Source organism: Homo sapiens, chromosome 22 (genome assembly GCF_000001405.40).
Source record: "Homo sapiens chromosome 22, GRCh38.p14 Primary Assembly".
Taxonomy (NCBI): Eukaryota; Metazoa; Chordata; class Mammalia; order Primates; family Hominidae; genus Homo; species Homo sapiens.
In genome coordinates, this window is record NC_000022.11 from 20,767,027 (window position 1) to 20,789,091 (window position 22,065).

The 22,065-nt window shown below is 47.1% G+C and overlaps 2 protein-coding genes across 9 annotated transcripts in view, besides 1 other annotated feature; one reads left to right on the plus strand and one right to left on the minus strand.

Annotated features, from left to right (window-relative positions):
• Positions 1–22,065, minus strand: part of PI4KA (phosphatidylinositol 4-kinase alpha) — a 151,121-nt gene that overhangs the window by 59,336 nt on the left and 69,720 nt on the right. The window lies entirely within an intron of this gene.
• On the plus strand, positions 7,087–20,694 carry SERPIND1 (serpin family D member 1). Its single transcript, NM_000185.4, has 5 exons — positions 7,087–7,119; positions 12,271–13,175; positions 16,946–17,219; positions 18,978–19,122; positions 19,849–20,694. Exons 2-5 carry the CDS (start codon positions 12,287–12,289, stop codon positions 20,038–20,040), a joined length of 1,500 nt encoding a protein of 499 aa, NP_000176.2. The 5' UTR covers positions 7,087–7,119; positions 12,271–12,286; the 3' UTR covers positions 20,041–20,694.
• Positions 10,775–11,069: an enhancer, noted in NCBI's record as "tiled region #10582; K562 Activating DNase unmatched - State 25:Art". NCBI's record gives its function as "activates a minimal TATA promoter and a strong SV40 promoter by Sharpr-MPRA in K562 cells {active_cell/tissue: K562}" and the evidence as "EXISTENCE:reporter gene assay evidence [ECO:0000049][PMID:27701403]".

The following is a 22,065-nucleotide window of genomic DNA, read 5'->3' on the forward strand; positions in this document are numbered from 1 at the left end:
ATCTATCCAAAAAATGTTAAAAAGCTGATTTAGGCACAAAAATGTTGCAACAGCAAAATAAATAGAAACACACTAGATGTCTACCTGAAAGGGACATTTAAATAAGTAATGGTATATTAAAAGTATAATAAATTGGCCGGGCACAGTGGCTCTTGCCTGTAATCCCAGCACTTTGGGAGGCCGAGGCAGGTGGATCACGAGGTCAGGAGATCAAGACCATTCTGGCTAACAGGGTGAAACCCTGTCTCTACTAAAAAATACAAAAACATTAGCCGGGCGTGGTGGCAGGCGCCTATAGTCCCAGCTACTCAGGAGGCTGAGGCAGGAGAATGGCGTGAACCTGGGAGGTTGAGCTTGCAGTGAGCCAAGATGGCGCTACTGCACTCTAGCCTGGGCGACAGAGCAAGACTCTGTCTCAAAAAAAAAAAAAGTATAATAAATTAATTATTTTTGAGATAGGGTCTCACTCTGTTACCCAGGCTGGAGTGCAGTGGCACAATCATCACTGCAGCACTGACCTCGATCTCCCAGGCTCAAGTGATCCTCCCACCTCAGCCTTCCCAGTAGCAGGGAGGACAGGTGTGCTCCACCATGTCCAGCTAATTATTATTTTATTTATACTTTTTGAGATGGAGTCTTGCTCTGTCGCCCAGGCTGGAGTGCCGAGGCACAACCTCAGCTCACTGCAACCTTTGCCTCCCAGGTTAAAGCAATTCTCCTGCCTCAGCCTCCTGAGTAGCTGGGACTACGGGCATGCACCACTATGCTCAGCTAATTTTTGTATTTTTAGTAGAGATGCGGTTTCACCATGTTGGCCAGGCTGGTCTCAAACTCCTGACCTCAAGTGATCTGCCCGCCTCAGCCTCCTAAAGTCCTGGGATTACAGGTGTGAGCCACCACACCTGGCCTAATTATTATTATTATTATTATTATTATTATTATTATTATTATTTCCAATTCAAAAATTTTAATTTAAAAGTAAACTTTAATGTCAAAAATGCAAACTTGGGGAGGGGAGAAAGATCACACGCAAAGCTGCCACTTCACACTTGCAGGGCTGCACGGCAGCTAGGCAAAGGTGTTCCTCAATTCCCAGACGGTGCGGCGGCCAGACAGAGGTGCTACTTACTCACTTCCCAGATGGGGTGGTGGCCAATGCCCGGCTTAATTATTGTTTTTCTTTTTTTCATACAAACAGACACCTTACTGACTTTTTACATTTTTTTGTAGAGAAAGGCTCTCACTATGTTGCCCAGGGTGGTATTAAACTCCTAGGTTCAAGAGATCCTCCCGTGTTGGCCTCCCCAAGTGTTGGAATTACAGGCGTGAGCCACCACACTCAGCCAAGAATCATATTTTCTAAGACTATTTGGTGACACATGTAGAACTCACAATATGTCAAGAGAAAAAAATCCAAAACGTATAAATAATATGATATAGATTTTAAAAAATCTAAATATATACATATAGAACAAAGATGGGAAAAAGCAGCCACATGTTAAGATTATTTCTGGGTTGCTAGGGATTTCACTCTTCTTCTTTAATGTCTATATTTCCTGGAGCTCTTCCATCAACATGTTCCTTTTACAATCAAAGGGAGGGTGCAGGTGCCGGTCCAGGGCTTGGCAACCTGTGTGGAAGAAGGCTCCACACCTCTGCTTGAGAGCCGCCAGGGCACTGTGTCCTTGGGAAGAGTGGGCCAAGACCTGGGGGTGCAGGGCAGGCTCTGGGTAGGTGCTGAGGAGGTGGGGCACTTTGGAGAGGGCTGTGTGGAGGGCAGCAGCAGACGGAAGCGACACAGGGCAGGAAATCTAGAGCCACACAGGATGTGGCCACAAAAGGACAGTTGACAAGGGGCTTCCAGTTCAGCTAGTGGCCAAGGACAGTGACAGTAAGAACACGCAACTGTGGGACTGACTGTCTCTGAAGTGACCGGCCTCCCAGGATAAGGTCCCAAGTGATGGTGGAGATATGAAGGGGTTTCCAGACTACAGAATTCAAGGCCTATGTGGCTAAGAGGTTCTGGTACCTTCTAAAGAGAACTAGACTTTGGTGGTTATGGAAAGGGTTGCGCTTCTAGAATGCTTCCCTCTCAATGAGAACAGTAGCTCCACGTGGCTGGGAAGTTCAAAGTGGTTTTGACACAGAAAAGAGGAAGTAAGTGGACTCTATCTTTGATTTGGGATCCTACTCCTGACCCTGTGAACTTCTTGGCTCCCTCTTGAGGACGTTGGCTTGAAAGTGGCTCTGTGGGTTCTCCCTGCTCTCTGACTTCTCCGAGCCTGCTGGCCACTGTCTTGGCTGAGACTGCTCTAGTCTCCAGAAAGGAGATCTGCTCACTCCTAAGAAGTATCAAGGTCAGGCCAGGTGTGGTGGCTCACGCCTGTAATCCCAGCACTTTGGGAGGCCAAGACAGGCAGATCAGGAGGTCAGGAGATCGAGATCAGCCTGGCTAACACGGTAAAACCCCATCTCTACTAAAAATACAAAAAATTAGCCAGGCGTGGTGGCACACACCTGTAGTCCCAGGTACTCGGGAGGCTGAAGCAGGAGAATCGCTTGAAACCAGGAGGCCGAGGTTGCAGTGAGCCAAGATTGCGCCACTGCACTGCAGCCTGGGCGACAGAGCGAGACGCCATTTCAAAAAAAAAAAAAAATCAAGGTCAGGGGGGAAGTGGGAAGACTGAAATAGATAAAGGATTCTAAAGAGATATAACAGTCAAATGCGACACATGAAACCCTGACCAGATAAAAATTAAAAACCCATAAAATACATGTTTGAAGTCATAGAGTAATCTGACTTGGACTAGACATGTGATATATGTGAGGCTTGTGATCTTCCCAGGAGTGATGGTAGCACAGCACAGGGCAGAGACCCGTCCATGGAAGAAACACTGGTGCTAGTGCCCAGGGCAGAAGTGAGTGATGTCTTTAAGTGGATATGGAAAAATATTAACTATTCTACCTAGGTTGTGGGTGTATGGATATTTAGTATTCAATTATTCCAATTTCTCTGTGTATGTATACATATTTTTTTTAGAGACAGGGTCTCACTCTGTCGACCACACTGGAGTAGGGGGTACAATCATAGCTCACTGTACATACTCAAGTGATCCTTCTGCCTCAGCCTCCTGAGCAGATGGGACTACAGGTGTGCAGCATCATGGCCCAGTTTTTTTTTTTTTGGTAGAGATGGGTTTTGCTAGCCGGGAGCAGTGGCTCATGCCTGTAATCCTAGCACTTTGGGAGGCTGAGGCGGGCAGATCATCTGAGGTCAGGAGTTCAAGACCAGCCTGGGCAACATGGTAAAACCCTGTCTCTACTAAAAACACAAAAATTAGCCAGGCATGATGGCAGGCGCCTGTAATCCCAGCTACTTGGGAGGCTGAGGCAGGAGAATCGCTTGAACCCAGGAGGCAGAGGTTGCAGCAAGCTAAGATTGAGCCACTGCACTCCAGCCTGGGCAACAGAGCAAAAACTCCGTCTCAAAAAAAAAAAAAAAAAAAGAGAGAGAGAGAGATCGGTTTTGCTATGTTGCCCAAGCTGGACACGGACACACACACACACACACACACACACACACACACACACACACACACACACACAAGCTGGACACAGAGACACACACAGTGACAGGGCAAAGGTTCCAAAATTTTAAACCTGGTAAATCTGGGTACGGGTATACAGGAGTTGTTCTACTACACTATTCTTTCAACTTTTTTGAAAGTTTGAAGTTATTTCAAAAGAAAAAGTTTTCCAAACTTTAGTGATCCTCCTGCCTCAGCCTCCCAAAGTGCTGGGATGATAGGCATGAGCCACCGTGCCTGACCCCTCTGTATATTTTTAGAATTTCATGTTAAAAGATGGAAAAGTCTGGATGAGGTAGTTCACGCCTGTCTTCCCAGCTCTTTGGGAGGCCAAGGTGGGAAGACTGCTTGAAGCCAGACGTTCAAGACCAACTTGGCCAACATAGTGAGACCCCGCTTTTTTCTAACTAAAAAAATTTTTTTCCAAGTTGGAAAAAATATCTAGCCATAAGACAAACCTTGAAACTGCAAAAGAACAATGGAGTATGTGTGACAGGAGGTACTGCTCTACAGTGGGGTTAAAGCCATACACAAGCTGTGGTGGCTCACGCCTGTAATCCCAGCACTTTGGGAGGCCGATGCGGGCGGATCATGAGGTTAGGAGTTCAAGACCAGCCTGGCCAGCATGGTGAAACCCGTCTCTACTAAAAATACAAAACATTAGCCAGACGTGGTGGTGGGCACCTGTAGTCCCAGCTACTAGGGAGGCTGAGGCAGGAGAATGGCGTGAACCCAGGAGGCGGAGCTTGCAGTGAGCTGAGATTGCGCCACTGCACTCCAGCCTGGGCGACAGAGCGAGACTCTGTCTCAAAAAAAAAAAAGCCATACACAAGCTGTTACCACTAAATGGGAAAATGACTGAAAAATGTCAATGTCAAGAGGGACTGAAATCAAATTTTTCCAATAGTGGGTTACATGATCAGAAATCCAAATAGACAGGAAATATGTTGGCTTTATTTATTTATTTATTTATTTATTTATTTATTTAGACAGAGTCTCACTCTGTCACCCAGGCTGGAGTACAGTGGCATGAACTCGGCTCACTGCAACCTTCACCTCCCAGGTTCAAGCGATTGTCCTGCCTCAGCCTCCCGAGTAGCTGGGACTACAGATGTGTGCCACCACACCCAGCTAATTTTTGTATTTTTAGTAGGGACGGGGTTTTACCATGTTGGTCAGGCTGGTCTTGAACTCCTGACCTCAAGTGATCCACCCGCCTTGGCCTCTCAAAGTGCTGGGATTACAGGTGTGAGCCACCACACCTGGCCGGTACTGGCTTTAAAAATAACAAAAGTAATACATACACATAGAAAAAGGTCAAACAAAGAAGTACATAGAATGAAAAATGAATGCTGTGTCCCCTCCCAGACCATTTCTGTGAATAAATATGTAATACCATGAAATGATGAGGACTAACATTTTCTGAATGCCAGGCACCACTCTATGTGCTTTCCACACATTCATTAACCTCATTTAATTTTCTCATTTAATTAATGAGATAAATTAATGTATCTCATTTAATTTTCACAACAACCTCATGCAGTAGGTGTAACTGTCACCCTCATTTCAGAGAGCAGAATACTGAGAGCTGGAGGCCAAGGGGCAATTTCAGCCAGGGTGGCTGGTGACGCCTCGGTGAAACCAAGAGCGAACAGTGAGAGCAGCGGCCACCTGCTGGTCTGCAGGGATGGTGTCCTGGGCAGAAAGAATAGCAAGTGCCAGGGCTGTGCTGGGGCCGGGCTTTGCATGTGTGAGAACAAGACAGAGAATGAGGGAGGTGGGCCCACGAGGAGTGTGGGCACAGACAGCAGCCTCTGCCTGTGGTGCCACGCTGAAGACTCAGTATTGTATGTGACAGATGAAGGCTCTAAGAAGACAGCTCTGACAAAAGCTAGAGTGCAAAATCAGACTCAGACACAACCACCGGTCTGTGTCCTGAACACAATGGACCTTTACACTCTGGAATTTCTCAAACGGAGCAATGCACAGACACCCCCATGGGCCCCTTGCACACCCGCAGATTCTCCTAGGAGTCACATTCTCTCTTCAGATAGACTCTGGGTGCCGACACTCCCAAACATGCTCTTGAGGAGCAGTCTCTGTGATAAGCTGATCTTCCAGACAATCCAGAATATTCTTAAAACTTTTTAGATCATAAAATTTAAAACACAAATTAAAAAACAAATTATCATAAGGCCGGGCACAGTGACTCATGCCTGTAATCCCAGCACTTTGCAAGGCTGAAGCAGGAGGATCACTTGAGCCCAAGAGTTCAAGACCAGCCTAGGCAACATAGTGAGACCCTGTCTCTACAAAAAAGTCAAAAGTTAGCTAGACATGGTGGTGTGCACCTGTATTCCCAGCTACTTGCAGGGCTGAGGTGAGGAGGATTGCTTCAGCTCGGGAGGTTGAGGCTGCAGTGAGCCAAGATCACGCCACTGCACTCCAGCCTGGGTAACAGAGTGAGACCCTGTCTCAAAAAACACATAGGGCCAGGCGTGGTGGCTCACGCATGTAATCCCAGCACTTTGGGAGGCCGAGACGGGAGGATCACTTCACTCCAGGAGTTCAACACCAGCCTGGCCAACATAGTGAAACCCCGTCTCTACTAAAAATACAAAAAATTAGTTGGACATGGTGGTGTGCGCCTGTAATCTCAGCCACTCAGGAGGCTGAGGCAGGAGAACGCTTGAACTTGGGAGACAGAGGTTGCAGTGAGCTGAGATCGCACCACTGCACTCCAGCATGGGCAGCAGCGCGAAACTCTGTCTCAAAACAAACAAACAAACAAACAAACACCCATAAACACAAAATGTATCACAGCCTCAGAGATCCCCACGAATGCCTAAGTGGCCCTGAATTTGGGAGGCACTGCTCAGTAATAGTCCTATCTGTCCCACAACAGACAGGAGTGCTGGGCTGCACCTACTGGCAACAAACACAGCAACCCTTGACTGAAGAAAGGTCCATGCCACAATCCCCTTATTCTGTAAGCCACTAATTTTGTCCTCTCTCCTCCACCTTTCACTGAGGAACGAGCTCTTGGAAGGACAGGGACACCCGCCTAGTAGCTGAGCCAGCCACATCAGTCCTGGAGAGCAGGTGGAGGGCAGATGCTGTGATCATCCCAGAAGAGAGGACACAGTTGGAGGCAGATGCATGGTCTCTACTTTCAGCTACCCTCAATGCAGCCTGGTCCCCAGAGGCCTGAAGAGCGCCTTGTTTATGTGGTGACCTCAAGAGGGGCTGCTCCTGCACCAAGGCTATGTGTGCATGCTAACACAGTAACCGTCATATACTCAAAGTGTCAGCTCTAAGAACTGGAGATGAGGAGCTGCAAGCCACTCTACAGTTATCAAAGGCACAGCTGAGGGGGTTTGTGCTGACCAAGCTGGTTGCCTGGTGTTTGGATTGGGACTTATTTACTTTGGAAAATATGCAGCAACAGCCCAGCACCAAAGTTCACATCAAAATCCCACTGATGACCTTGGCTGCTTTCATCTCTGAAGCGCCACTTCTCAGAAACACAGAGGTAAGTTGGGTTTCTAATGTTTCTGCTGATTATAAATTATTTTTGGTGTTTACGGATAGGCAACTGGTTCATTTTTCTAGCAAACTAAGAATTCAGAAGCTTTCTACACTGTTTTAGAAGTGGGAAATGGTTTCATTTTTCAGTGTGCCTATTATAAAATTGTGTCAGTTCCATTGTTGGGAGAGTTGACAAACTTAGAATAGGAGCTGTGGAATAGATGAAAATATTGTACTTATATTAAATTAATCGAATTGGATAACTGTCCTGTGATTATGTATGAGAATATCCTTGCTCTTGGGTATTTTCCCTGAAGTATTAGTATTAAAGGTTAGAGGGGCCGGGTGCAGTGGCTCACGCCTGTAATCCCAACACTTTGGGAGGCCGAGGCGGGTGGATCACGAGGTCAGGAGTTCAAGACCAGCCTGACCAACATGGTGAAGCCAAGTCTCTACTAAAAATACAAAAATTAGCTGGGCGTGGTGGCACGCGCCTGTAATCCCAGCTACTCAGGAGGCTGAGGCAGGAGAATCGCTTAAACCCGGGAGGCAGAGGTTGCAGTGAGCGGAGATCGTGCCACTGCACTCCAGCCTGGACAACAGAGTTAGACTCCGTCAAAAAAAAAAAAAAAAAGAAGAAAAAAGAAAAAATGTTAGAGGAACAAGATATAGGAGACCTACTCTCAAATGGTCTAGAAGAAAAAATGTGTATGTGCATGCCTGTGAGAACACACACGTACGTACACACACACACAGATAATGACAGGGCAAAGGTTCCAAAATTTTAAACCTGGTAAATCTCGGTACGGGTATACAGGAGTTGTTCTACTACACTATTCTTTCAACATTTTTGGAAGTTTGAACTTACTTCAAAATAAAAAGTTTTCCAAACTTTAGGCAGTTACTTCTCTCCCATTCTGCCTGCTCTGTTGGGCCTGGAGACCATACACCAGGAGGGATGACGGTTTATCAAGTGTTATGCTCTGATGCGTGACTGAAAAGGCCAACCCAGCTCTGGCAATTAGCAAGAAAGCACAATATGAAGTTCCCAGGAAAAAAAAAAAGCAAAACAAACTTTTGAATGATTTATCTTTAAAATATATTGTTTCTCTTCAAACAGTAATCTGGATTTAATCACAACCTAGTGATAGTTTTTAAACGTCTTCTACAATGTTTGTTATACTAAATAGCAAAACATCAGGAAGATTTACCTTCAGATCTTTAATTTCAATCCATAAAAGATATCAGAGATATTTTCTCCTTCCTCTGGTAAGGGAATGACGAAAACTATTTTTGGCTTTTTATCAGATAATGTGGGAACAGGGTATAAGAAGTTTCCAAATATAACTTCTGAATACCGGGATAAAACATGCATGTCTTTACTCTGCCACTCTATCTGGCCTCAGATACGTTTTCCTGAATGCTTATTTATTCAAGTTGGTTTTTGTTTTGTTCTTTAACCTTATTTTTATCTGAGAAGAAAACATTTTCCCCCTTTGTTCCTTCTTCTTTTGGCTTTCTTTTTTAAAATAGAGATGAGGTCTTGCTATGTTGCTCCAGCTGGTCTTGAACTCCTGGGCTCAAGCGATCCTCCTGCCTTGGCCTCCCAAGATGCTAAGATTACAGGTGTGAGCCCCTATGCCTGGTCTTCTTCTTCTTGATCTTAGCCAAAAGGCCAAGAAGTGATAAGAGGAGGACACTTGAAGTGTAGTTGGGCAAGGAGCCTTCTACCAGCTGCTTACTTTCTTTGTTCCTGACTTTTAAAAGTGTGTTGCTATTGATACACAGTCTCCTGATATGTAAAATGCTGGGAGGATGAAGCTAAGTTACTCAAAGTGCCATTCAGAAACTGGGCCCAGTTCTATTTGCAGCTACATACATTAGAAATCATTTCTAGAGGCTGAGCATGGTAACTCATACCTGTAATTCCAGCACTTTGGGAGGCCAAGGCAGGAGAATTGCCTGAGCTCAGGAGTTTGAGACCTGTCTGGGCAACATGGTAAAACCCCATCTTTACCAAAAACACAAAAAATTAACTGGGTTTGGTGGCACACACCTGTGGTCCCAGCTACTTCAAAAGGCTGAGGTGGGAGGGTCTCTTGAGCCTGAGAGGAACAGGTGGCAGTGAACCAATATTGTGCCACTGCACTCCAGCCTGGGTGACAGAGTGAGACCCCGCCGTCTCAAAATAAAAATAAAAAGAAATCGTTTCTAGAAACTGTTTTCCCGTGTGTAAACTAGTGGCACTGCAGCCTGAGGCAGGTGCTGAGATGGGGACCTGGAAAAGGCAACAGGCATTTTGAGTCAGAAACAATGTGACTTTCCTGCTCCAAAATGTGCAATTCAAAAGTCTTTCTTAGTTGTGACTAAAACAAACTTTGAACTTACTATTTCAACAGTATTATAAGGGGAAGACCCAAGGAATGGGACTGGCACTGGGAAAACAGCTAGGAAGCTGCTCTGCACGGCCAGGGAGTCTGGAAGCATCCTGGTACTCCAGAGCGAACAAGGCTGAGCGCTTGATGTGGGGCTTAGAGGCTTAACCAACTTGGTTCGAATCTAGCCACTGCCACTTATTAGTGACAGTGACGAAAGGCTCAGTCTCCTGATATATAAAATGTTGGGAGGATGAAACTAAGTTACACGAAGTGCCTTATACAGCGTGTCAGGCATCCAACAGAGGCCATTATCAACATTAACCACACTGACAGCATTTCAAGCAGAGTATCCGAACAGTTACCCCATCTTCAGGCCTACTGAGTTCAAATATTTGCTTAACAAGAGCAGCCAGTAACTCTTACCTGGCCTCAACTGGCAGCAGATATTCTGGGCCTCAAATATCTATCTAATAGGAAATGGTCACAGACACAAAATAAGCTTAACAAAAGGCAGTTTTTTTTTGTTTTTTTTTTGTTTTCTGTTTTTTGAGATAAGGACTCACTCTATCCCCCAGGTTGGAGTGCAGTAGTGGCGTGATCACGGCTCACTGCAGACTCAAGTGATCCTCCTACTTCAGCCTCTCAAGTAGATGGGACCACAGGCGTGTGCCATCACACCAGGCTAATTATTTTTCTTTTCTTTTTTTTTTTTTTGAGACGGAGTTTCGCTCTTTTTGCCCAGGCTGGAGTGCAATGGTGCGATCTTGGCTCACCACAACCTCTGCCTCCTGAATTCAAACGAATCTCCTGCCTCAGCCTCCTAAGTATCTGGGATTACAGGCATGCGCCACCACGCCGGCTAATTTTTTTGTATTTTTTGTAGAGACAGGGTTTCTCCATGTTGGCCAGGCTGGTCTCGAACTCCCGACCTCAGATGATCCGCCCACCTCGGCCTCCCAAAGTGCTGGGATTACTGACCTGAGCCACCGCACCCAGCCTATTTATTTAATTTTTCACAGAGATGAGGTCTTGCTATGTTGCCCACACTGGTCTTGAGCTCCTGGGCTCAAGTGATCTTCCTGCCTTGGTCTCCCAGTGTTGGGATTATAGGCGTAAGCCACAGCGCCTGGCCGGCAGTTCTTTCTGGGGTGATTAGAAGTTGGGACCATGTATTACCTGTCTGAGTCAGCATTATAAACACCTATGGTCACTGTCCTGGCAAAACATGGAATCATCAAAGCTCATCTAACCAGAGTGCAGTTAATAACCAGGAAGTAAGCAAGAGAAAGACAAAGGATTTGGCAGTCAAAACAGATTTGACAGGCCAAGTCAGATCCTCCTCTGAACGAGTCAGAGGAACAAATAAAGACAGGATTGCCATAATGCCTCTGTGCTAAAAGCTTATCTTGTTTACTTAAATAAAGGGAGTGCCCCTCAGGTCTTGAGTAAGAGCTTGCTGACATCACCCTCACACAGACTTTATCTCTTGTTTCTAACCCTGTGTTAGAAGCAGTAACACAGAAGATTTAGTTGCTCCTGACAGCAGTGGGAGCTATTGTCTAAGAGATACAAAGGAGAAAAAAGTATACCTGCAGCAAGTGATATCACCTCTGGGGCTGCCACCACATCACCTCACTACGCCCTGAGGGGGTCTCAGCACTAGACAAGTTCCAAATCTTTTGCAAATTAAACAACCCCAGGTCAGGCGTGGTGGCTTATGCCTGTAATCCCAGCACTTTGGGGGGCTGAGGTGGGTGGATCACCTGAGGTCAGGAGTTTGAGACCAGCCTGGCCAACAGAGCAAAACCCCATCTCTACTAAACAAAATACAAAAATTAACCAGGCGTAGTGGTGTGCACCTGTAGTCCCAGCTACTTGGGAGGCTGAGGCAAGAGAATTGCTTGAGTCCAGGAGGCCGAAGTTGCAGTAAGCCGAGATCGCGCCACTGCACTCCAGCCTGGGTGACAGAGTGAGACTCCATTTCAAAAAATAAAAACAACAAAAGCCAATTACAACAACAACAACAAAAAAACAACGAATTAAACAACCCCAAAGATTGCACAAATTTCAAGTATCTTTAGAATATGTTTTCAGAAAGCCTGGCCCATGGACATTTTTCAACAGCATCTCCATTGCAAAGGTGGAATGGTGTGAGTCACACAGGCATGGCTGAGTCCCACTAATGCACATCCCTTCTAGGTACTCTCCAATCACCAGCCCCAGGTGCCCACTCAAGCCCAGCTCTTAGTGAGGTTTCCCTGACTCTCTGGGCACTTCCACTCCTACCACACAGGGTAGAGCCACACCCCTTTCCGTACCCCCATGTGCTCTGGCAGCATTATTTTGAGAGCCTTCGCTTTACTGCACGTCTGTCCCATCTGTCCCCTGACTGGTCCATGAGCCCCTGGTGGGAACTTTGTCTCTGGTAACTAAACACTGTCTGGAGGTGGTGGACAAGGTGTCTGGAGAAAAACAAACTCCTCCCTGGGATGCCTGAGCTCCCAGGATTCTAGAAGGTTAGTTTTGCAAACCTTTAAAGAAGGGATTTTCATCAAGGGGCCCACAGATCCTTCATTGAGGTTTATGAGTCCCACATCAAAGGTTGGGTGTCTATCTACATCAGATTCTCTTAAAGTCCATGATCCTAAAACAGTTAAGAACTAATGCTGTGAGGGCCTCTTCCTGGGTCAAAGCCACAGGGAACCTGCCATGTGGATGCTGCAGCGGGGTGTGGATCAGCCAGGCCGCCTTTCACTGTGTTCTGTTTTCCCTCCCAGCTTTAGCTCCGCCAAAATGAAACACTCATTAAACGCACTTCTCATTTTCCTCATCATAACATCTGCGTGGGGTGGGAGCAAAGGCCCGCTGGATCAGCTAGAGAAAGGAGGGGAAACTGCTCAGTCTGCAGATCCCCAGTGGGAGCAGTTAAATAACAAAAACCTGAGCATGCCTCTTCTCCCTGCCGACTTCCACAAGGAAAACACCGTCACCAACGACTGGATTCCAGAGGGGGAGGAGGACGACGACTATCTGGACCTGGAGAAGATATTCAGTGAAGACGACGACTACATCGACATCGTCGACAGTCTGTCAGTTTCCCCGACAGACTCTGATGTGAGTGCTGGGAACATCCTCCAGCTTTTTCATGGCAAGAGCCGGATCCAGCGTCTTAACATCCTCAACGCCAAGTTCGCTTTCAACCTCTACCGAGTGCTGAAAGACCAGGTCAACACTTTCGATAACATCTTCATAGCACCCGTTGGCATTTCTACTGCGATGGGTATGATTTCCTTAGGTCTGAAGGGAGAGACCCATGAACAAGTGCACTCGATTTTGCATTTTAAAGACTTTGTTAATGCCAGCAGCAAGTATGAAATCACGACCATTCATAATCTCTTCCGTAAGCTGACTCATCGCCTCTTCAGGAGGAATTTTGGGTACACACTGCGGTCAGTCAATGACCTTTATATCCAGAAGCAGTTTCCAATCCTGCTTGACTTCAAAACTAAAGTAAGAGAGTATTACTTTGCTGAGGCCCAGATAGCTGACTTCTCAGACCCTGCCTTCATATCAAAAACCAACAACCACATCATGAAGCTCACCAAGGGCCTCATAAAAGATGCTCTGGAGAATATAGACCCTGCTACCCAGATGATGATTCTCAACTGCATCTACTTCAAAGGTAAGAGGCACCTTTACAGTTCTCACAGCAAACCCACAACATACTATTTTTGTATGTGGGTAGATTGAATGCCAAGAACTGTACTGTAGCTATAATTTATCCAGGAAAACTAGACACAAGATTGACTCTGGAACGGGGACAGGGAAGGCCAAGCTGAAGTGACAGTAGCATCTGACACTTACTGAGCCCTAACTCTGTGCTTTAACACAGCCTTGTGAGGTCATCACTGTTATTAGCATCCCCATTTTACAGAGGAAGCCACCAACACATGAAGTAAAAGGATGGGCTGGGCGCGGTGGCTCACGCCTGTAATCCCAGCACTTTGGGAGGCCGAGGCAGGCAGATCACTTGAGGTCAGGAGTTCGAGATCAGCCTGACCAACAGACCAACATGGTGAAAACCTGGCTCTACTAAAAATACAAAAATTAGCTGGGCCTGGCGGTGGGTGCCTGTACTCCCAGCTACTTGGGAGGCTGAGGCAGGAGAATCACTTGAACCTGGAAGGCAGAGATTGCAGTGAGCCGAGACTGTGCCACTGCACTCTAGCCTGGACGACAGAGTGAGACTCCATCTCAAAAAAAAAAAAAAAAGAAGTAAAACGATGCTCCAAGGGCACCCAGTTATTAAGGGGCAGAGCCAAAGCTGAACCCAGGGAGGCCAACCCTAGCAATCTGTTAAATTGGAAGAAATAATACAAAAACTGTTTTAGCATTTGGCCAGCCTGGATTTGAGTTTTCTCTTTTCCTTTCCCAATTATCAATAAGCAGGAATATAGACAAAAGGCTAAAGAAATGCACCTGTGAACTATTCAGCTTGAGCAGCTGACATTGACACCTACAAGTGCTTTTCAGGATACTTTTGAACTACTGGGCAGGTGGGATGGAGAAATAAATTACTATTTCCCCAGCAACTGTTCTGGGCTGAGCACAAGGGCACTTTTTAAGGAGGTCACCCCACACCCATCACACACACATAGGACCCCTGGAATCCTAGGAATAAATAAGCATGGATTTGTAAAATCCAAACCTCTCTTTTCAAATATCCTCACCTGGACCAGACCAGAAGAAACCTCTACTTTACTCTCTAAGCTGAGAGTGTGGAAGGGGAAACACGAGGAATGGTTCGGCTTCAGGACTAATTGCGGTGACACACAACCACTTCTCTTTGCCACCAAGGACTACCAGGTACCTGCAAAGGGCAGTACTTGGAGGCCAGTGCTTTCTGCTAGTTAGCTCCCGTGGTTTTATAGCAGCCCAGGCGAAGGAAGGAGACCCCCCCCAGCTCCTGGCTTCTGTTCAGGGAAAGGGGGCCAGAGCCCCTCCTGATCTGTCCACACACCTGCTCTGTGCCTTGGCTGAGGCCCCTGCAGCTCTACAAGGCAGGCATTCTGCTGGATAGGCCAAGCAGGGTCACTCTGACACCCAGGTTTCCACCCCAAGGCATGGCACAATGCTGGCCTCCTGTGGGTGGAATCAAAGGCTGAGTTCTAACAGGCTTGCGGCAGACACACACACAGAGACCACATGTACATGATGAACACACATATCCTTTTCATTACAGGTTATTAGTACAAGTTTTGGAATTGAGCAAACAAGAGTCTAAGCGCTGGTTTCACCACTTCTCGTTTGTGTGACCTCAGACAAGTCATTCAACATCTCTATGACTCAGTTTCCTTATCTTTATCACAGAGATGACACCCACTCTGACAGGGCCGAGGGAAGAACCATAAGCGATGGCAATGCAACAGAGTGGCACATGACAAGAGCTCAGCGAATTTGAGGGAATGAAACTGTAGATTACAATACTAGTACAATATGATAAACATATGATATTGTTAGTGACATTTATTTTACTTCTACTAGCAAATAACCTATGTTTAGGACTGACTTTAGAACAGGCTGGCAGAAGCATTTTTGGCAGCATCAAAGTCCTCCAACCTACTGGTCTGTTGGAGCCCCCCAAGTACACCAAAGAGCCTCTGCATTAGCCCTGGCTGAGGGTTCAGGGACAGGCAGAGAAGTACAGCAGTGAGCCATCCCTGCCTGCATGGAGGTGGAGAAATGATCAGGCATGGTCAGTTGACAATCTCCTAAACACAGTAACCCGTGTCATACCACAGTGTAAACACACGTGCAAATGCTTCTGCTTCCTTTCCCCATCATGAGAATAGTCACTCAATGCCGGGCATCACAAGGGATCAAATGCTAGGAGTACCCAATCATTCATGGATGCTTCTCAAAGGGGACGAGTGTCTAGAAGTGTAATTTTAATTTCACTTAATTTCATATGGAATCATCTCCATTACTAATTTTGTTCTAATTTTAATGTGATAATCACTTTGTAAAGCACAATAAACAGAGGCAGGCTCTCATGAGGAAGTCAGAAGGAAAGAATCCCAAGAGACATGGGACAGCTCCATCCAAACTGAAAGGGCCGTGATTCCCAAAAGAGCAATTTTGTCCCCAAGGTCTGAAGACACTTTTGGTTGTCACAACCTGGGGGGTTGGAGTAAGCATTACTGGTATCTAGAAGGGGGAGGCTGGGGATGTTGCTAAACACCCTACCATGCACAGGGCAGCCCACATTGCCACAAACTATTATGTGGCCCAAATGTCAAAAATGCTGAGGTTGAGAAACCCTGGGTGAGGCAGACTCAGGGAGAAGGGAATCGAGCTTCACTCACAGGCAGGCAGGAGCTGTCTGGTACTTCAACCTCCAAGACACCTCCTGCTCATCTCATCCTGGCTGCTCTACCCACCAGCTAGAAACCTTGAACAAGTTACTTCACTTCTTTGTGCCTCTGTTTCCTCATATGTAAAAGAGGGATAACAAAACGCACACAACTTGCATGTTGCTAGGAGCAGAAATGAGATAATACAGGAAAGGTGCTGAGAAGAATGCCCGGCACATGGCCAGTTCTCAACTACTAGTCACCCATTACTATTAGTTACTCACATCTTAGAGCTAACATAGACATGGGCTTATTCCTGGATACACAGCACTGTCCCCATATCTACAGTGGTGATCCTAAGGGCAACATGGCATCACCCAAATGTCTTGTTAGTCACTACAGAATCACAGTGTGAGGGATGAAGGCCATCAAGACAGAGCTGAGGCTGGCAGGGTGGCTCATGCCTATAATCCCAGTGCTTTGGAAGGCTGAGGCAGGAGGATTGCTTGAGGCCAAGGGTTTGAGACCAGCCTAGGTAACATAGCAAGACCCCATCTACAATTAAAAAAAAAAAAAAAAAGACAGAAAGAAAAAATAGCCAGGCGTGGCATGTGCTTGTAGTCCAAGCTACTGGGGAGGGAGGCTGAGGCAGGAGGATTCCTTGAGCCTGGGAGTGTGAGGCTGCAGTGAGCTATGATGGCATCGCCGCACTCCAGCCTGCATGACACAGTGAGACCTGGTCTCAAAAACCAAATAATAATAACAGTAATAAAAGCTGGAAAGAGCTCAAAGTTACTCATTTGACAGATGTGACAGATGAAGAAATAGAAGCGAGTTAGGTGCCTTACCATGGTCAAACAACTAGTTCGTATCAGACCCTACTCCAGAAACTATTCCAGTCCGGGTAACCTCTCGTTAACCTCTCTTGTTAGAAATGCAAATTTCTGCCCAAATCAGGCCTCAGGAATCAAGAGACTGTGGGGTCGGCTCTGCAGGCTATCTGAATGAGGCCTCCAGGGAAATCAGATTCACTCTCAAGGGTGAGACGATTTCCCTAAAGGAACCTTCTCATAACAGCCTCTTCCTGTGGCCTTTACAGGATCCTGGGTGAATAAATTCCCAGTGGAAATGACACACAACCACAACTTCCGGCTGAATGAGAGAGAGGTAGTTAAGGTTTCCATGATGCAGACCAAGGGGAACTTCCTCGCAGCAAATGACCAGGAGCTGGACTGCGACATCCTCCAGCTGGAATACGTGGGGGGCATCAGCATGCTAATTGTGGTCCCACACAAGATGTCTGGGATGAAGACCCTCGAAGCGCAACTGACACCCCGGGTGGTGGAGAGATGGCAAAAAAGCATGACAAACAGGTATTTCACACTGTGTGTTTGTTCTTTTGAGCTCCCAGATGCTGGGGGTGTCTGGGAATACTGGAAAATGGATCATTTTTTTAAAAAGGGAGAATTATGTACAAGTACCCAAGAACTTCCATACAGGGCCACTCTGTTAATTCAGCCCCAATTTGTTGCTTGAGATAAGAGATGATTAGAGAGCATTCATAAGGGACACATCTGCCCTCTAGGGGCCAGTTTCAGAAGTTAGAGGCAGATGACTTAGAGACAGCTTGGTGCTTGCTTTGTGGCTTCGAGTCCCAGCTTCATCATCCCTAAAATGGGTATAATTCCATTACTTCCCCGGGTCACTTGAGAAAATAACAGAATCAGCGATGCTGAGCGCCCCTCCCAGTACTTGGAACCTAGGAGGCACTCAAAAAAAGATTGGCTCAACTCTTCCCTGCCCAGGAAATTCCAAGGTCCTCTTAGCCTACCGAGGACACATCATTCATGATTTCCTCTATTATTATTCGTTACTTTGTAGTTAAAACTGCAGGTGTTAAGTACTTATTGAGATTATTATTGGGTCATGGCAGAAAGAATGGAGAGGTCTTATTTCTGTCTTACTGGATACTGGCTAGGCCCATATGAAGAAGTGATTCTGGTTTGAACCTCCTTATAGGACAAGAATACAAACATATGCAACCAAACTGAGAAAAGTAGGCTCTCAGAGGAAGGTATTTGCCCGGGTAGCCAGTCATCATGCTCTGTGAATTTTTCCTTAACAACGTCCCTTCTGTACCTGCCTCCTTCCATTCCTCCCTGCAGCCCGGCAGCTCTTGAGAAAGGGACTGCATCTTTTTTTTTTTTTTTTTTTTGAGACAGGGTCTTGTTCTGTCACCCAGGCTGGAGTGCAGTGGCATCATCATGGCTCACTGCAGCCTCAACCTCCTGAACTTAAGTGATCCTCTCACCTCAGCCTCCTGAATAGTTGAGACTACAGGCGTGCACCTTCATGCCCAGCTAATTAAACTTTTTTTGGTAGAGATGAGGTCTCGCTGTGTTGCCCAGGCTGGTCTTGAACTCCTGGCCTCAAGCAGTCCTCCTGCCTTGGCCTTCCAAAGTGCTGGGATTAACAGGCGTGAGCCGCTGTGCCTGGCCCATTTGACTTTTAATTGAGATCTTACTTGGTGCAAGGTATGAGCTAGGTAAAAGAGTGAAGAAGATCAAGCCTTCCTGCCCATCCAGCTGGGATTGCACCTTAAATCTCTTTATCCCCTGCAAAGTGCCAGACTAACTCCACAGGCACTACTGTTGCTATCCGCCCCCTTAGGGATTGAGTAAGTTGAGGCAAAGATTGAGAATATTCAGCATTGTCTAGTATATACAGGAAAGGTTCTTTTTAAAAGTACACTACCAGATATTCGACTCCTTAATTACAAAAAAAAAACCAAATGCCTAAAATTGGGAAACCAAACCAGAGAATTATTTTAGATGCCTTTTTAAACCATAAACCAGGAAAAGTTCTGCTGCTAACCTTGAAGATAGGAAACGAACCATACAGTCTCAAGGAAATAATCATGCAACAGAAAACACACCTCAGTTTTCAGTAGCGGAATTACAAAGGAGTGTGCTTCCTAAAATCCTCAACTGACAGTCCCGGAATATAAATTTTAATAAGTGCTATATCAATTCTGTGATAAATATAACCCGTGGCCCTTTAAAGGGAAAATCATGATTCTTTTGTAACTTGTGGTTCAATAAAACTGGGCCCCCCTTTCCTTTTCTGTCTAGAACTCGAGAAGTGCTTCTGCCGAAATTCAAGCTGGAGAAGAACTACAATCTAGTGGAGTCCCTGAAGTTGATGGGGATCAGGATGCTGTTTGACAAAAATGGCAACATGGCAGGCATCTCAGACCAAAGGATCGCCATCGACCTGGTAACCACTCCCTTGTCCACCCCCGACCCGTCCCCAGGGTCTGCCTCAGCACAGCCCCACCTCCACTTGCCCTTCCTACCCACCCCCCAATCTCATGTCCCAGCTTGGGGTGCTGAGTCTGCTCTTCGGCCTGGGTGGGATACACAGAATGCCTAGTTTCATGGATGCCAGCTGGAGAGCACGGCACCTGGCAGACACTTACTGGGCAGGGGGGATCCCAAGAGCAGCCATGGGGTGAGCCCCACTCCCGCTGACACCAGAGACAGGGGAGACATGTGCTGCGGTCTGGGAAATAGCTACCCCCAGCCAAATCATGAAAGAGCCATTAAACACCGCACTATACACATACTTAACTTAAACCAATCGGGCGCTCAGCAAAAGAGAGAGAACACCAGTCCAAACAGTGCAGCAGACCCAGTTCCCCATCCCGGAGAAGTGCGCAGCAGTGTGGGGAGCTGGAGCTGGGGTGGCTGTCCTGCACCAGCCCCCACGACCCTCAGACCACAGGCACTGCCAAGAGGGAACATGAACCTAGCCGGCCTCTAAGTGCAACGGCTGCCCCTGACAGGTGGTGACAGATATTTTCAAGAGTGACTCTGACCAGCTGTGATTTCCACCTTACATGTTGTCTTTGGATCCTTTCCCTGAATGATATGAGATTGTGCTGGGAACTCTAGCCCTCTGTGTGCTGACCTCCAGAATCTGACAACTTTCCTTTCCAAACAGTTCAAGCACCAAGGCACGATCACAGTGAACGAGGAAGGCACCCAAGCCACCACTGTGACCACGGTGGGGTTCATGCCGCTGTCCACCCAAGTCCGCTTCACTGTCGACCGCCCCTTTCTTTTCCTCATCTACGAGCATCGCACCAGCTGCCTGCTCTTCATGGGAAGAGTGGCCAACCCCAGCAGGTCCTAGAGGTGGAGGTCTAGGTGTCTGAAGTGCCTTGGGGGCACCCTCATTTTGTTTCCATTCCAACAACGAGAACAGAGATGTTCTGGCATCATTTACGTAGTTTACGCTACCAATCTGAATTCGAGGCCCATATGAGAGGAGCTTAGAAACGACCAAGAAGAGAGGCTTGTTGGAATCAATTCTGCACAATAGCCCATGCTGTAAGCTCATAGAAGTCACTGTAACTGTAGTGTGTCTGCTGTTACCTAGAGGGTCTCACCTCCCCACTCTTCACAGCAAACCTGAGCAGCGCGTCCTAAGCACCTCCCGCTCCGGTGACCCCATCCTTGCACACCTGACTCTGTCACTCAAGCCTTTCTCCACCAGGCCCCTCATCTGAATACCAAGCACAGAAATGAGTGGTGTGACTAATTCCTTACCTCTCCCAAGGAGGGTACACAACTAGCACCATTCTTGATGTCCAGGGAAGAAGCCACCTCAAGACATATGAGGGGTGCCCTGGGCTAATGTTAGGGCTTAATTTTCTCAAAGCCTGACCTTTCAAATCCATGATGAATGCCATCAGTCCCTCCTGCTGTTGCCTCCCTGTGACCTGGAGGACAGTGTGTGCCATGTCTCCCATACTAGAGATAAATAAATGTAGCCACATTTACTGTGTATCTGTTATAATTCTCTATTTTTTGAAGCTCAAATATCAAAAGCCAAATCCAAATTCCTGGATAACTCCAGGTATGATAAAGGCTGAGAGGAAGTCACTTGAGCACCACAATGTGCCACAGCAGGGCATGTTCTCAGGACAGGACAGGTGTGTGCTGAATCCTGGGGAGGGTCTGTGCAGTACCCCAGAACTGTGGGGTGCTAAGTGGCACACAAGCCCCAGGGCTCCCACAGTCTATGCCAGGCTGCTGCAGCTTTCATCCCTCATACCTGGTCCTGCAGTGGGTCTGGTTTGACAGAGCAGATGACACCTGAGGAATATGTTTCTGGATCCTTCAATCCCTGGGTAAGACAAGTGAAATCCACAGAGGCTGTTCAGCACGCAAGAGTGCCAGTGCTCTTTCAGTGAGGGGATGACTGACGGTCACAGGTGCTGTGTGTGCAGGTGTCTAACTGTAACCCCCACAGCCTGGCAGATGAGGAAGACAAGGGTTGGAAGAGTTCTGAAACCTGTCCAAGATGCTGAAGTAGTGGGGCTGGGTTCAAGTGCAGGTTGGCTGGACTCCAGGGACCACACAAGGAGTCCTGTCACAGGCTTCTGACCCCATGAGACCAATACCAGTAAGAAGAGTGGTAAAAGGGAGTAGGGACGGAAGGGGAACGTCACTGCCCTTTGTAGGCATGCCTGTGGGTTATCTCACAGAGTCTCCTTACCCTCAATCCCTAGGGGGCTGGCACTGTTACCCCTCCTTTTTACAGCTGCAGAAGCAATTTCAGCTCACAGAAGGGAAGGCCTCTGCCTGAGGCCTGAATCCACACCCAGGCAGGGGGACCCTGCAGCCCTGCTTTCCCCTGCTCCCTTCCTGACTTCCCACACTGGGCTCTGCCTCCTTACTCTGCTGAGAGCAGATGGTGCAGGGGCTGGATGAATTGCCCCAAGCCATCCTCTCGGCTTCCTGGTGAACCCTGATGCTGCGGATGGCCCACTCCTTCAATTCATTCTCCAATCTGCTTCACCCCTCTTCTTTTCTGTCATTCTCCAAACTGCTTCACCACTCTTCTTTTCTGTCATTCTCCAACCTGCTTCACCACTCTTCTTTTCTGGTGCCTGTCCTATATTTCTCATCTTGCTGCAGCTTCCTTTTGGCTCTTCTCATTTCTAAATGTAATAATCTCAAAAAACCCTTTTAGTCCTTTGCCATGTCTGTCCCATACCCAGAAAGGCAGTGGTCACTTCTGCTCACCCAGCGCCCTCTCTGCTACAGCCGGTGTGGAGTCCTCCACACTCTTGAGCATCCAGACACCCCCGTTTCAATGCCTTTTGTTCATGTACACCCACTCAGAATCTCTCAGATCCCCTCTTACAGAAAC